Genomic DNA, 15,056 nt, shown 5'->3' with positions numbered 1-15,056 from the left:
TCCTCTAATATGTCAAAATAACTCTACTGAAAATAAAGTGTAAATCTGATAGACTCTGCTCTTGGTAAACCTATGCTGGCTCTCCCTTCTCCACATACTTAAAAAAAAATAAAACTATGCTTTTAACAATTACTATTTGTTTTCTACTCAGGAGCAATAAACTCAGCTTTTATAATTTCTAGAATGTTCCTCCCCTCTTTGAGCAACCCTAGAGAATGAAAGAGTCACTAGAATGTTGTTCAGATTTTCTAAGCACATTATCTTATCTGCTTTAAGTCAGTGGGTGCATCTCAACTGTCTACAAGGCCCCAGCAGGCAACAGAAATGAGGGAATTGGAGTAAGTCATGCCAGAGGCAAAAAGAGAACTTACTCTGGGATTAAAGGGGCAATCACTATTCAGCTCCTGCTAAATTGTTGCCATATAAGAGCCCAGTCACTGCTTCAGAGCTTTCAATTGTTTCAAGAAGATGAAAATACAAAACTTATTTAAATGTGAAATCTTTATTTTTAAGTTTGGTAACTATTTTTAAAAGATTCTACACCAGACCAAAACATACAGACGGGCAGAATTCAGTACACAGAAGTCTGGTTTTAATCCCGTGCTTTAACAAATTCATTTAGGTGTCTGTTTAAAAGGGGGTAGGGGTGCAGAGGGATGAGTTAAACTCAAAATTGGGGCTTCAACCCCCTCTTGAAACTGTTTTTCACTCTCTCCAGTCTAAAGTATTACCCTCCTTGACCAAAAGTTAAAATGAGAGGTGACTATAAAATTACAAAGGATAGAGAAAAAAGTGCAAAATATACTCTTTATTGTTCTTGCTGTAAACTCAATGACGCAAAAACACTGATTTTTACTCTTTGTATTATAGGAACAACAGTACATTCATCCTTAGATAAATGACCTCTCCATCTCACACTTTAAAAAATCTGAGGTAATTCAAGCCCTGTCCCTCACCTTCCTCTCTGTCCTAGCTAAGATACAAATCACATATGATCCCTCTGTGTAAAACTGTCAAATGTCCTTTGCCACATTTCCCATTCTTTTTGAGCCATACTTCCTTTTTGGCATTATAATCTATGGAATCTTGCTTACTTCTTCTCAGCACTTTTGGTTTGCTTAGTAACTGGGGTGCACTTACAACCAAACCTTCTCATTGTTTGCTATTATTTCCTAGCATTTTAAAACATGAAAAAAATTTTAAAACAATTTCCTAATTTCTGGGCTTAAATTACATTAAGATAGGGCACAGTAAAACTATTTGTATGATATTACAGTTATGTACATATAATTATGTATTTGTCCAAACCTACAAATGCACAAGAGTGAACTCTAATGTCAACTATGGACTGTGGATGATAATGGTGTGTGTGTCAACGCAGGACCACAGATTGTAACAAATGTCCCACTCTGTTGTGGGGTGTTGACACCGAAGGAGGCTGGGCAAAGAGGGTATACGGGAGCTCTGTATTTTCTGCTCAATTTTGCTGTGCATCTAAATAAAAGTGCTCTAAAAATGGTCTATTTAAAAGGAAAAAAATTCTTAAGACAAAGTCAGATCCATTAGTAATTAAAAAAAAAAAAACCCAGCAGCTTTTAAGTTATCTTGTGTACATGGTTTAACAGAGGTATGGTCTTATTATGGAAAGAGTGTTCAAACCAGGCCAGAAGAATTTCATAGCCATGTTCATATTCAAGGCAACCATAATATTCTACTTTGCAAAAACAGGTTGGGCAACCAGCCTTTTAAGTCACTATGTCTGCATTTGGGGTATCTATAAGTAGGTAGAATCTAGTGTCCAATTGGAAATATTTCTAACTTCTCTTGTTCTCAAAACCATGATCTAGCACTTCAGTCCTCTTATGTGGTCTTCTGTCATAGCAGTCCCACTCAGTACAGAGCAGTTAATGAGATATTATAGAATGAAAACCAAGACCAGGTATTTCTTAAATTTATTGAAGAACTCTTAGCTGGGAGAAGAAAGATCACAGGCTTAAACAATTGTAAGATAAAAGAACAATTAATTGCAAATAATTACAAAAGTAATTTCTGAAATTTTTTGAGCCACTGCTGAAACAAAACTTTAGTGCATCTCAAAGTTCGTATTTTGTTAAGTGAACATATTAAATTACTGAAAAGCAAAAAAGAGTTACTGTTACACAGTACAAGATCTTAATATAGTAACTGAGCACAGCCAAATAAACAGCTATAATTATTCCAAGCTGCTTTTGCTATGTATCTGGTATATTAAACAAGAAAGTGGATTACTTTTAACACTGCACAAGTAACCAAAGGTAGCAAATCCAGCAATATTAAAACCGGATATTAAATAGTATTCAAACATTACAACAAAAACAAAATAAGAACTTCTAGAACTAGAACTCTACCCTATGAAAGGAATGTACACAGATGGTTAAAAAAAAACCAATAAATAAATAAAGTGACAAGAGTGACTAATTCTGTATCCACATCTTCAGAGCAGGAATACAGTAAATGAGTAAATGCTTAGAGGAGTCTTGCTGAAAATGAGAAAAAATGCATCTCACTTTAGTATAATTTTTCTAAATTCTCACTGAAGCTCTAATTCTCTTGTGCTGGTGACAGGTGGACAGGGTTTTTAAATGCAAAGTATTCTCCCTACACCCTGAGTATGGATGCATCAGTTGTTTAAAATTCTGTGGAAAGTTTCCTTAGAAAAACATAAAATTTAAAGTGATATACTGATGGGAAATTGAATATATTAATTGTGGAAGAATATCAGCTAACTAATTAACTAAGTAGACATTTAAATCTGGACTCTGTTGAAGAATCAAGGTTAAACTCTGCATTATGTGCACTAATGTCAGCCATCTAATATCAAAGTCAGATAAGTAAACTATCTTTCACTTTATACATAGTGCATTTAGTAAATAAATTCTCTTACCAGCAACATAAAGCCCTTGTTGGAGCAAAATTAAAGTATTAAGAATTGAATTAACTTACAACAAATATCTGAAGGGTAAGTGGAACATTTTTCAAAGTATAAAGATGTTATCACATATATTCACCATGAATCCTCTTAAAGGTTTTATAACACCATTAAATTATATCAAATATCCAACAGATATTGTCATTTTCTTCTGTGATTTATAAAGGAAACATTCCTTTTGTACAAATCAGAAGTATCTTAAAAATCAACCTTAACACCAAAATATACATGTAATTTTAACTTGGTTTAGGAAAACATGAAAGAACTGTCACATTTTGGTGTGAACAAGGTTCTGAAAACCCCCTATCAGAGGTCTCATTCACTTTTTTCCACATATCACTTGAAGGTTTTGAAACTGGTAAAAACAGAATTCAGCTCGATGTACATCAAAACTTTAACAGTTCTGAAAAAGACGTATTTCGTAAGGGCCAAAATGTACAGCACAGCAATATTACAATGTTACAGTATAAATATGTCAAGCCAATTTGTAATAAAATAAGACAGTTGTCTTCAAAAGAGCTGTTTGACTATAGAGCAACCAAATAGATCTAGAACATCTTTGGAAAAACCACAAAGTGCCTTTACAGAAAGTTAAGTTTAGACTACACTTAATTAAAAGATAATACTCTAAACTCAAAATTATTTTCTCTATATGAGGAATTTTGACACTTGTTTTCACACCTGCCAATATTCAATATTTTTAACTCACACTTCTTTTCATACATCTGCCAATATTTAATATTTTATTCTATGCCCCTGCACTGAATTGATGTAAGTGTGAAGTTCCACTATTATTATTACCACACATGCTAATACCTAATAACTGGTCTGTCATTATGTAGTGGTTAAATAAGCAAATGCTGAACTCAGCACAGCTCTAGCAAAATGCAAAGGAAATAAGAAAAGCCTCACCTCAGAATGATTACACCATAAACAGAAATAAACATTTTCAAACACAAAGTTTCACAAAATAATATATCATCACTTTAAAAGAAATTCAGAACTCTATTTTGCTGTTGATCAAACTTGTGCATACACTCAAGTTACTAAACACAATTTGATAGTTAGATACTTGTAAAAATGCATTCTAAACTTAATAATCAATTAATTCATAATTAACAAGAGCAAACATTCCTAGTCCTAACATTTAAAAAAACCCAGTCCAGTGCTGCCACATCTCAAGTTCTGAAAAGCTAAAGGCAGGAACAATTCTGGTTATACAATTCCTGCATTTCTCCACCTTAAAAAATACTTGAAGAAACTTTAGGAAACTTTATATTAAGGCTTGCTGTATTTCTGTATCTTAAATTGAGAAAAATCAAAACCTACGATGTAACCTCGAATTATTTAAATAGCTTTTGGCATTTTTCTTGAAAAGCAAATTTGAATCTTTCACTATAAAACATTTCTATACCACAATTACTAATTCACATTAATGTGTAAGTGCCCTCATTTCCTATTCCCTGGCAGGCGCTATGTCTTCTTTCTACGTTTTGTGCAGCTTTCAGAACAGTCAGTGCTCAGAAAAAATGAAAACGTAATGGAGCAAAATCAAAGTCCCCAAAAAAAGTGATTTATCCTAGATTACAAAATCCAGTAGTGGAAGAACCAACATTTACACACCCAAATACACACACACCCACACATACACAGGACACAGCGAGAGATGAGAGAGAGTGGGGGGTGGGGGAGGTGAGAGACAGTGGGAGGAGGGGGGAGGGGGAAGAGAGTGGGAGGAGGGGAGAGAGAGTTGCAGGGAGGGAAGAGAGAGACAAAAGCAAGACACAACCTTTGTCCTCTATTCATGTCAACTTGCAGTTTCTGGACACAAACTAGTAGGAAATGTAGAGCCCAGAAAGATCGTGTCAGAGAACTTGACGAGACAGTGTAGATATAGTTTATCTGGGTGGGGCGGGGTGGGGGGAAATCCCAATTTTTCTAAAACAAACAAACAAACAAACAAAAAAAACACCACATTCTTGGTAGAGGTTTTTTCAAAAATCCAACAATAAAAACTACTGGGCTTCTCTAAATGCATTTCCATATTAACATTAATTTTTAAAATTTCAACATGTTTTACAATTTAAGTTTTCACTTGTAAGATAAGTTGGGAACCCAAAATTGTCAAAAAAAATTTTAATTATTGTCAATAAAAATTCTTACTGCACAATCTTTATAGGCGTTTTATTTTAAAGCACCTTTTTAAATTTTAACAGTGGGTTTCTAAAAAGAAAACAGTAAAATAAAAGAGGGAACAAACTGGCAAGGTTAAAGTACTCCCTTACACACACACACACACACACACACACACACACACACACACACACCTTTCATGCCAGAATGACTGGCAGCATTGGCAAATAATGTCAATGAAAGGATGGGGGAAACTATCACTTATAGTGTTTATAGAAACCTAAAATACTAATGTTTCTGCTAAGAAATTAAATAGTTTGGGGAAATCAAAAAGCTACCAATAGCTGATCTATGAAATATGAAAATGAAACTGATTTTTAAAAACAGGAAAGGCCAAAAATCTACTAGAAATTTTTAAAAATCAGCCTCAATTTTATTTTCTGATGTCAGACTAGTTATTAATTAGATACCATTTGTTTGCAAAGGAGCAAAATTATAACTCTATCACTGGAACCTATCCTCAGCCACTTCAGTGCAGTTTCTAGCAGCACTATTTGGATACAAAAAGAATGTGGTCAGACAATGCCCCTGAAAACCCCCTGGTTAGACCTTCCTTCAAATACATGTTCTTAGGGTCTTGACACACTACACATGTGTATAGAAGAATAAATGAAGGTAGTATTTTGACAGATTACAAAAGTATGAACTATATACACCGAGTGATAACACAAAGCGCTCAGAAAGCTATATTTACTTGCCTCCCAACTGACTTACGATGTTAATATTCACTATTCAAATTTTATCCTAAACATCTTTATTGGCTTGTTCCCCTCCCCAAACAAATACTAAAATATACTGGTTTGGGGTTTGCTCTATGCATTTTCCAAGAGCCAATCAAACAGCGACTTGCATCTCTCCTCACTGGAAGCTTTTTCCATCACTTCATAGTATTGAAGCACAGCCTGCAGGAGGTCTCCCACTTTCCATCCTTTCTCTTGTAATTGTTTTGAAAGCTAAGAAAGAAAGATGTGTCAAACATTAACCAAAAACAATTTTATAACAAAGCTTTTATTTTTATTTTCAATATTAGCTGAAACTTAAGAATCCTGCTGTTTACAATTAAATACCGTTTCCTAGTTATAACAAGGTCTTCCCCTCTAAACCGCTACCCCTTTACCCAAATTAAACATTTTCCCTTCTTCCCCTTTATAAACACATCTCCTCCAGAGAATGACACTTTGGGATCGCTGGAGACAGAGCTCCACAAACCTCACCAAGCAAATAGTCTGCATGGACATGCAGAGGCTGAGTTTCTACAGGAAATTCTTCACCTAACTAAATACAACTGCCACACCCTCAATTAGGACATAAAATAATAAAGACAACGTCAAACTCAATAAAAGGATGTGGATTTTCCTTCCACAACATATAGTGTGGCATTTTTCTGGAATACACACTCTAGCCTCAATGGAAACATGGCTTTCTAAGTTAAAGAATGTTAATGTTTCAACAACAAAACAACAAATAAATAAATAAATAAATACAGGTTTAAATAAATCCTGTTGTCACCACTCACGACATGCTTTTGTTCATTTCTTTTTCTACTAAGTTCTGTAAAAGCTCTTAAGTTTTGAAAGATCTGTAAGTTAAATTCTGAAAAACTACTTTAATTTTGTGTAACATATATATGCTTAACCTTTTTAAAAACAGCTTTATTGAGATAAAACTCACATAACATACAATTCACCCAAAGTGTCCTAGTCAATGGTTTTTAGTATGTTCTCCAAGTTGAATGCAACCAACACCACAATTCGAATATTTCTACCACCCCAAAAGGAAAGTTCTGATAAAGAAAATTATGGAACAAAAACCTTAAGACTGTAAACTGAAAATCTTGACTAATAAGGTACTTGGCACATAGTAAGCATCTTGTTTAAACTTTTATCGGCTTTTAATTATGACAGCTGCTCATACAAATGAAACTGGATTATCAGAGAAACAGATATATTAATCATTAGGTACAATTACAAATCAATTAAATACAGAGAATAATTCAATTTTTTCATAGGAACACACACAATGCTTATTAATAGCATCTACCTTTGAGAGCTTAGTGTTATGCCAGGCATTAGACCAAGCATTTTTTTTAACATTATATTTAATCCTCATAAACCCCTGTAAGGTAGATTCTATATTCATTTGCATAGTGCAGTTAGGGGCAATGAGACAGACTGGTGAACCTGCCTCTGGTTATACTGCTAGAAAGTGGCAGAGCTGATGTCTGAACCCAAACTGTTGGACACTACAGCCTAAGAATTTAACCATCACCAGGCATCTTGTTAGACCAATCACATGACAAGAACATCATATACTGTTAAATGTATCCTCACACTCTGTAAGGTAGGTACTTACTAGCATAAACTCCTTATTTGCAGAGTCATGAAAATAAAGTTCTGCAACTTCAGCCTCAGAGGCAATGAGCCACTGAAGAATAATCCTTAGCTGGGGGTCTACCGTGCATGGCTCCATGTCAATATTCGTAATTAGCAGTGTCTTTCCATCTTGCCCCAAACCTAATATTTAAATGTAAACAATATAAAGTAAAACTCATCAATTTAACTCTCAATACTCTGGTTGTCAAGTAGATACAAATATTTTCTGGTTCTTAGGATTCTAATGAATGGTGAAAAAAATATCCATCTTTTTCTAACCACACCATAACCTCAACTAAAACTTCTAAAGGGCAAAATAATGTAAAACAAAGGAATAACTTTGATCATTTATTGATTGCAAAAATATAAAACATCATTTTAACATACTGAATTCAAGTTCTATAAATGCCATAATTTGATATAAATTATGACCAGTGGGTTAGAGAGAAAATAAAACTATAAAGCTATCATTACAATAAAAATAAAAATGAGGCTGGGCATGGTGGCTCAGGCCTGTAATCCCAGCACTCTGGGAGGCCGACGTGGGCAGATCGCTTGAGGCCAAGAGTTCGAGACCAGCCTGCCCAACATGGTGAAACCCCAGCGCTATTAAAAATACAAAATCCGGCCAGGCGTGGTGGCACATGCCTGTAGTCCCAGCTACTCAGGAGGCTGTGGCACAAGAATCGCTGGAACCCAGGAGGCAGAGGTTGCAGTGATCCGAGATTGCACCACCCAGCCTGGGCAACAGAGCAAGACTTTGTCCCAAAAAACAAACAAAACCCCACAAAAAAACAGAAATCTCAAATAAAGAAGAGCAGCAACATCTGTGCAGCACATATTCCATCCTAAGTATTGTTCTAAGCTCTTTATATGTACAAACTCCTTTAATCCTCACAACCACTCTATGAGGTAGAAACTATTATTGTCTCCATTCTACAGGTGAGAGATCTGAGGCAAAGAGAGCCCCAGAGTCTTCCAGTGGGGAAGTGGCTGAGCCAGGACATTTACACAGGCAGTCTGGCTCCATGCTCTTAATCTCTCATTCTTCAGACAAAAGTGGGGGGAAATGCCATATGCAACCACTTACACCCAAAAGCCAGATCAGGGAATTTTCTGGTATACTTCTAGTCTCAAGATTATCTCAAATTTATTTTCTTTTTTTATGATAATTATGTTTTCATCACAAAGAGGGATCCATCTCTGTTGACAGAAATAATGACTTATGGGCCAATATCATGCGTTTAACATTCCTGCTGCTTAATGATACCTGAGCAATAAGGAGTGCTGAGACCAGGACCCCTCCACCCCTTAACACACACCACAAGAGGTGAGCACCAGGGCATGCTGGCAGACATCATGCCAACATGTACCAGTAATGGAAGGTTGTTGACAGATGTCTCTGATTCTCTGCTACAGCTTGCAGGCCATTCTAGACCACTATTAATTATTTTTAGGAGTTGTGTTGGTCCCTAATTTTTAATTAAAAAGATTTGGTCCACATTACTCTCTAAAAATAAATGTATTGTCTCTTCCCTCCCCTCTCTCCAACACTCTCAATCAAAAATAGGTTTGGCATACCATGGTACAAGGCATGGTCTCTGGGCCTTTCTGCAATCCTGAGGAGTTCAGGGGGCTAGAAGCTAATCATCCCACTGCTTCTTTGCACTGCTGGTGTTTTCTCAGTTCAGGACTCCTGGTTGCCTGGCCTACAAGAACCTCCAAACGGCTCTCTCTTTAGAGAAGTCTCTAACCATTAGTGAAAAGGGGAGGGACTGACATCCTGCAACTACAAAATTATTTTTTTAAAAAAATAAGTTTGTTGCCTTGGGATTTCCATAATTTTGAATCTTTCTATAAATCCAGACCAATCTAGCTCCTAATTTACCAATCTCTAACAAATTTAAAGCTGGCTGTAACTTTCTATATAATGAGAAATACCTATAATCTCAAAAACTCAGTAATGACATATCAACATATAATTAATCTCCTGATTTCTACCAACTACAAAAGAAATCCTTAACAGCCTGGTTAGTGCCAAAAGTAATCTTTTTCAAGATAAATTTCATATTTACATTAACTTGTATCTTCTTTTTTCTTAATCATTCCTCAGTAAAGCTAGTTAAACAATCGCTAGTTCATTAGAGAATACGTAACCACATGCATTTATACGATGTATAGCCTTTAGAATAACTGTTCACAGATGTTACTTGAGAAAAGGCATAACTTTTATAAACAAAGTCAACACTTTTTTAGTGAACAAGAATGAAACAAATATTGCAGTGGGGAATATCAATATCAAATATCAATAACACTAAAAATATTGCCCCATCTCGACTTTATATCTGATGAGAAAAACTGACTTCTAGAAGCCTTATATAAAGAATGTCTACTTACAGAGGCATTAAAACTAAAAAATAATAATCTTAAGTCTGAAGATTACAGCTTAAAAACTGGGATGTGACTTCCCTAAACAAGGTGTTAAACTAACTGAAAATTCAGGTGTCATAAAGTAAATTTCGAGAAATTCTTTTTAGCTATTTTCTGTTTGCCTGCTTCTAGAGAAGCAATTTTTAAAACATCACTAGTTCAAAAACAAATATCTCAAAGAGTACAAATACTTTTATAAGTGCACTTTATAGAAGACATTATTGGTATTTTCAAAATTAAGAAAAAAATTAGACTTTCAGAAAAAAATTCAACAACCGCCTGAATATAATGAAAACTCAGCTTCAAAGTAAAGTTTCTAAATTCACTCAGATGAATAAACTCAGATACTCTAACATGAATTAAGGATTACAAACTATGGTCCAAAACTCTGTGGCCAGTGATATCTAGTATTGACATACTTGGAACTATGTTCATTAAGGAAGGATCTGAGTATTTTCTTCAAATATGTGTATGCGTGAGTGAAGCACTGGAACTGGGGGAGGGAAGAATAATTAATTTAGAAATATCTTTTAGAAAACAAGGTAAGTAAAAATATTACTTACTGACTCACGTAAGTTTGACATGAAACCCTGGTTCTACAAGTTACCAGTTTGGAAGGAAAATATTATGAAAATAATATGCCATAGTTATAATAAATTATCTTATAACATGAGTAAGAATTTTAGCTTTTGTATTTTGAAAATAATTATGTAGAGAGACTGTAATTAATCTCTCTCAAATAGTCAAATAATTCTCATAAAGTATTCCTTTTTTTTTTTTTTTTTTTTTTTTAAGTCAGAGTCTCTGGCTCTGTTACCCAGGCTGGAGTGCAGTGGCATGATCTCGGCTCACTGCAACCTCTGCCTCCCAGGTTCAAGTGAATCCTGCGCCTCAGCCTCTCAAATAGCTGGGATTACAGGTGCCCGCCACCACGCCCAGCTAATTTTTGCATTTTCAGTAGAGATGGGGTTTCACCATGTTGGCCAGGCTGGTCTCAAATTCCTGGCCTCATGCGATCCACCCACCTCAGCCACCCAAAATGCTGGGATTATAGGCGTAAGCCACCGTGCCTGCCCAGTATTTCTTTATACCAATGACAATTTCATTAGTGTAGCAATCAAATAAAACTACTCAACAAAGGATCTAAAAGTGGACAAACAAAATTAGTTCAAGAATACCCTGATTTATAATGTTTTACACTGATAACCTAGAGCCTATCTGATGAAAATGCATAAAGACTCTTCTAGGAAACCTTATACAAAACACATGCCAACACTTTGAAAAACAAATCAAATTACCTTCTACTTCGTCCTCATGCTCTTCATCTTTATCATCTGGTCCATCACTTATGAATAAAATAGCAGAAGCAGTTACAAAAAAAATTTAATTAATAATGGTATCAAAACAAATTCTTAAAAATGTGGTAATGAATGAATGTTACAATATGACATATGACATTTAGAAAGGGGAGAAATGACAATTAAAAAAGGAAGCTTTGCTTCTCACATCATTTCATGTTAAAATCTGAATTGCAAATGATCCCTAAAGTTATCAAAACCAAGAAATCCTACCTTACCATGATACATAGTGCCATGTAATTTCATAATATTCAATTTAAAATCATTTAAAGTTGAAATAGTCTACTAATTTAATGTAGCATTTGAATATTACAAAATGCCAGGAATATTTGTTAATGGTTTAGCTGATGCAATTTATATATATTTTTAATACAGTAAAAACACTTTTTACCTATACTTTTCTTATATATAAAATAAAATCACACACAAAAATAAAACATAACAAAAAAACCCAACAGAAATCCTGTAGGAAGCAAGCTCTTTTGAATGAAATAATTGGTAGAATGAAAAATAGCAAGCAGAGCAACACATGCATAACAGTGACACATTTTGCAATTAGATGTCAGTCATATCTTAGCACAGTTGAAGTTTTTCATTAGATGTGAATTCATCAAGCAGAATCATGTCAAAATATAGGAGAAAAGCAGGTTGATACATACTGGCACTGTAACCCACATTCTTTGAAGAATATGACATCATGCATTAGTGGTGACAGACTCATCAGTTTTTAAGTTTCTAGACTGGACCAACCTGTCTGATGTTGGAAAGGATAAATTGTCCTCATACAAATCTCCTTCTAAACCAAGACTGCTCCAGCTACTGCTGTTACCATTACTGCCAGAGGAAGAAAAGAACAGAGCTGAACTAGAAAATGAATAGTAGAAAAGACCTTTGTTTCCTCGGAACAGCTTCTGTCCTTGATAACTGCAGATGTTCTGAAGCTGCCACAGTGAAGGGGAACATCCAGAGAGGAGATTGACCATCACTCCTATGCTAAAAGGTGCCTGACAAGTTCAGAGATTCGGGAGTTTTTTCTTTCTTCTCAACAGATCATGAAAATTATCTAAACTTATATTTTACAGATTAACAGAATGACTTTTAGGACAGCAAATGAATGCATGAAGTAATAAGTTTCACAGGAAAATTAATGTCTTAGGACCAATCTTGAACTATAATTTGTGAAATGCCAATACCTTTCTATTTGGATAAAGTTAAAAAAAACAGGTTAACATTCTCTCAGGTCTTTAGATAGTGCAAAACAGTGACAGGTATGGGTGAGGGGATGTTGGGGGGAGATGGGATGGAAGACTCTATAAAGACATAGTCCCAAACAGACCTTTTCTAACTATTTGGGCAAAACATGTTCTCAGATTTTAAAATACTATTATGTCAATTATCTTCATTTCATATATTATGTATAATTCAGTAGATGGCAAATAACAAACATTTTCTTCAGAATACAGCTAGAATAGCCAAGGCTTAATCAAGCATTACACTTGTCTAGTTGGCCAGTCACAAATGCCACATACAGATAATGTCTTACACTACCTAATCAACTGAAGAAGAAAGCAACTACTTTCTAAAACTGCAGCAAAGCAATTTTTAAAAAAAGCAACCATGTTCAGAAATAAAATTAAATTCAAATTTTCAGATTAAAACCCTCAGCATGCAATTTAAAAATTCTAATCATTTCTAATTATTAAACATTAGTAAGCACATTAGTTTGCAGTGATAAGCAGCGATTTTTCCCAATATTATGCTAGGCAATTATAAAAAGTAATATTTATACAAACCAAAATTTTGGTTCTAAAAAAGTAAACATAAAATCATTTTATGTACATCAGTAAATGTTGGTATGGTTAACAAAAAAAGGTGATTACTTCAAGTTCTAAAAAACTTCCAAGCAATCTCAAATAATTTGCATAGTTATATTCACTCTAACATGATCAAACTGTCACAAATCATGATGTATTAGAGAGTAAAAGTTAAAACTGAGCAGGGTCTTTTTAACATATGTTCAAACAAATATAGCTCTATTATAAAACTGTTAAAACCCATGTAGTTCATTGTCAGATAAACTAAAAATAAGAAAATATACAAACAAAGAATGGACAGACAGCTGTGAGCAAAGGAGAAAAAGAAAATTAATCATCTCAAACACTCTATTTACTTCTATTAATAGAATGATTATAACAAAAAAATATAAAATTTTTCTACCCATCACACAGATTCTTCCACTTAATAAAATCCATCACCTACCTATTACATAAACATTAAAAAAAAACAGCTAAACGAAGTAAAGACTAAAAATTCAAATTCCCTCTAACCTTATCACCCCTCCCTCTTTGTGCCTCCAAATGGGTATTTGAAGTCATTCTTCATAAAATGCCACTTCTAACTAGGTGACTGTATACATTTTTCATCTAACCAGGACACTTTTTTAAAGACCTCACCGTTAATAATTACAACAGAACAGCAGAAATAAGCCAAACTATCCTAAGTGGGAAGTATGATCACCCTGTATTAACCCAACATTTAAAAAACTTAATTTCTTCACTTAAGAGTTTTCCTACTTCACTCTTGAAACACTACCCTGCTTCCATCACTTTCTTTTATGTCTTTTCATATTTCCTATGTCTAGCACAGGAGTACTCCAACCAGTGGTATAAGTACTACAGTGGTCCAGTACTGCAATGCTTTATTGCAGCTTTTAGCCATATCAAGACTGGTCTTGATTGTGATACATCTTATAAAAATTATCTGAAACATTCTGCAAATCTGGCCCCATCCCTTAACCTAATCTAATTCATAATTCCTAAGAGAATAACAAACTACCTAAATATTTAAGACAGTCACAGACAGAGACCAGTTCTTTTCTGATCAAATAATTATATAATCCTCCTAAACACTTTTGAAAATCTGAAATTAGTGTGTTTTTTAGTTGTTGCCCTCCACTGAACTTCCTGCTTATAATGAAACTGGCAAGGTGTTTTCAAATTGTCACAGTCTTTTTTTTTTTTTTTTGACGGAGTCTGTCTCTGTCGCCCAGGATGGAGTACAGTGGCACAATCTCAGCTCACTGCAATCTCTGCCTCCCAGGTTCAAGCAATTCTCCTGCCTTAGCCTCCCAAGTAGCTGGGATTACAGGTGCCTGCCACCACGCCTGGCTAATTTTTGTATTTTTGGTAGAGACGGGGTTTCACCATGTTGCCCAGGCTGGTCTTGAACTCCTGACCTCAAGTGATCCACCCCCACCCCCATTGGCTTCCCAGAGTTCTGGGATTACAGGCGTGAATCACCGCGCCCAGCCCAAATCGCCGAAGTCTTTATCTCCTACCTTGATCTCTGTAGCAGAAAAGAACAGTATAGATATCAATTGTCATCAACAGATGCAACATATCTTGTAAATCAATATATTTTCAAGTGAGGTCTCTGAATCACCTGCACTGAAATCATCTGTGATGCTTATCAAGCATGCAGATTCTCAGGACCCTTCACTGACTTCATAAATCTTCATCTCTGGAGGTGAGACCCTGGACACTGTATATGCAACGAGCACACCACCAATCCTGGATGAGCCCCGCTTTTTCTCTGTGCCAGAACCTTAATGCCACGCAGCATTACATTAAGTCACATTACAACTTTGGTCAATGGAAACACAGGTCTTTTTCTGACAAAATGCCATCAAGCCAGGTTTGCTCCCCACTTAAGTTCAAATATTAATCATTAATTTTC

General features: G+C 35.0%; 1 protein-coding gene across 21 annotated transcripts in view; it reads right to left on the bottom strand.

Moving 5' to 3' along the window:
* Window positions 1-1,940: 1,940 nt before the first annotated feature.
* Window positions 1,941-15,056, bottom strand: part of AKAP11 (A-kinase anchoring protein 11) — a 51,785-nt gene continuing 38,669 nt past the window's right edge. For 11 of the 21 annotated variants that reach the window (XM_011534904.2, XM_047430077.1, XM_011534906.3 and 8 more), the window contains 4 exons: window positions 12,072-12,155; window positions 11,262-11,308; window positions 7,514-7,674; window positions 1,941-6,114 (listed from right to left, as the gene is read on the bottom strand). In XM_011534904.2, the coding sequence (XP_011533206.1) occupies window positions 5,974-6,114; window positions 7,514-7,674; window positions 11,262-11,308; window positions 12,072-12,155 (433 nt within the window). In that variant the 3' untranslated portion in view covers window positions 1,941-5,973. The remainder of the gene's footprint in view (window positions 6,115-7,513; window positions 7,675-11,261; window positions 11,309-12,071; window positions 12,156-15,056) is intronic. The other 10 variants (XM_047430073.1, XM_047430075.1, XM_047430072.1 and 7 more) reach the window with 3 other exon arrangements.

The sequence above is a fragment of the Homo sapiens genome, chromosome 13, assembly GCF_000001405.40.
Source record: "Homo sapiens chromosome 13, GRCh38.p14 Primary Assembly".
Classification (NCBI taxonomy): Eukaryota; Metazoa; Chordata; class Mammalia; order Primates; family Hominidae; genus Homo; species Homo sapiens.
Note: the sequence above shows the minus strand (reverse complement) of the source record. Positions and strands in the feature narration are given on the sequence as shown.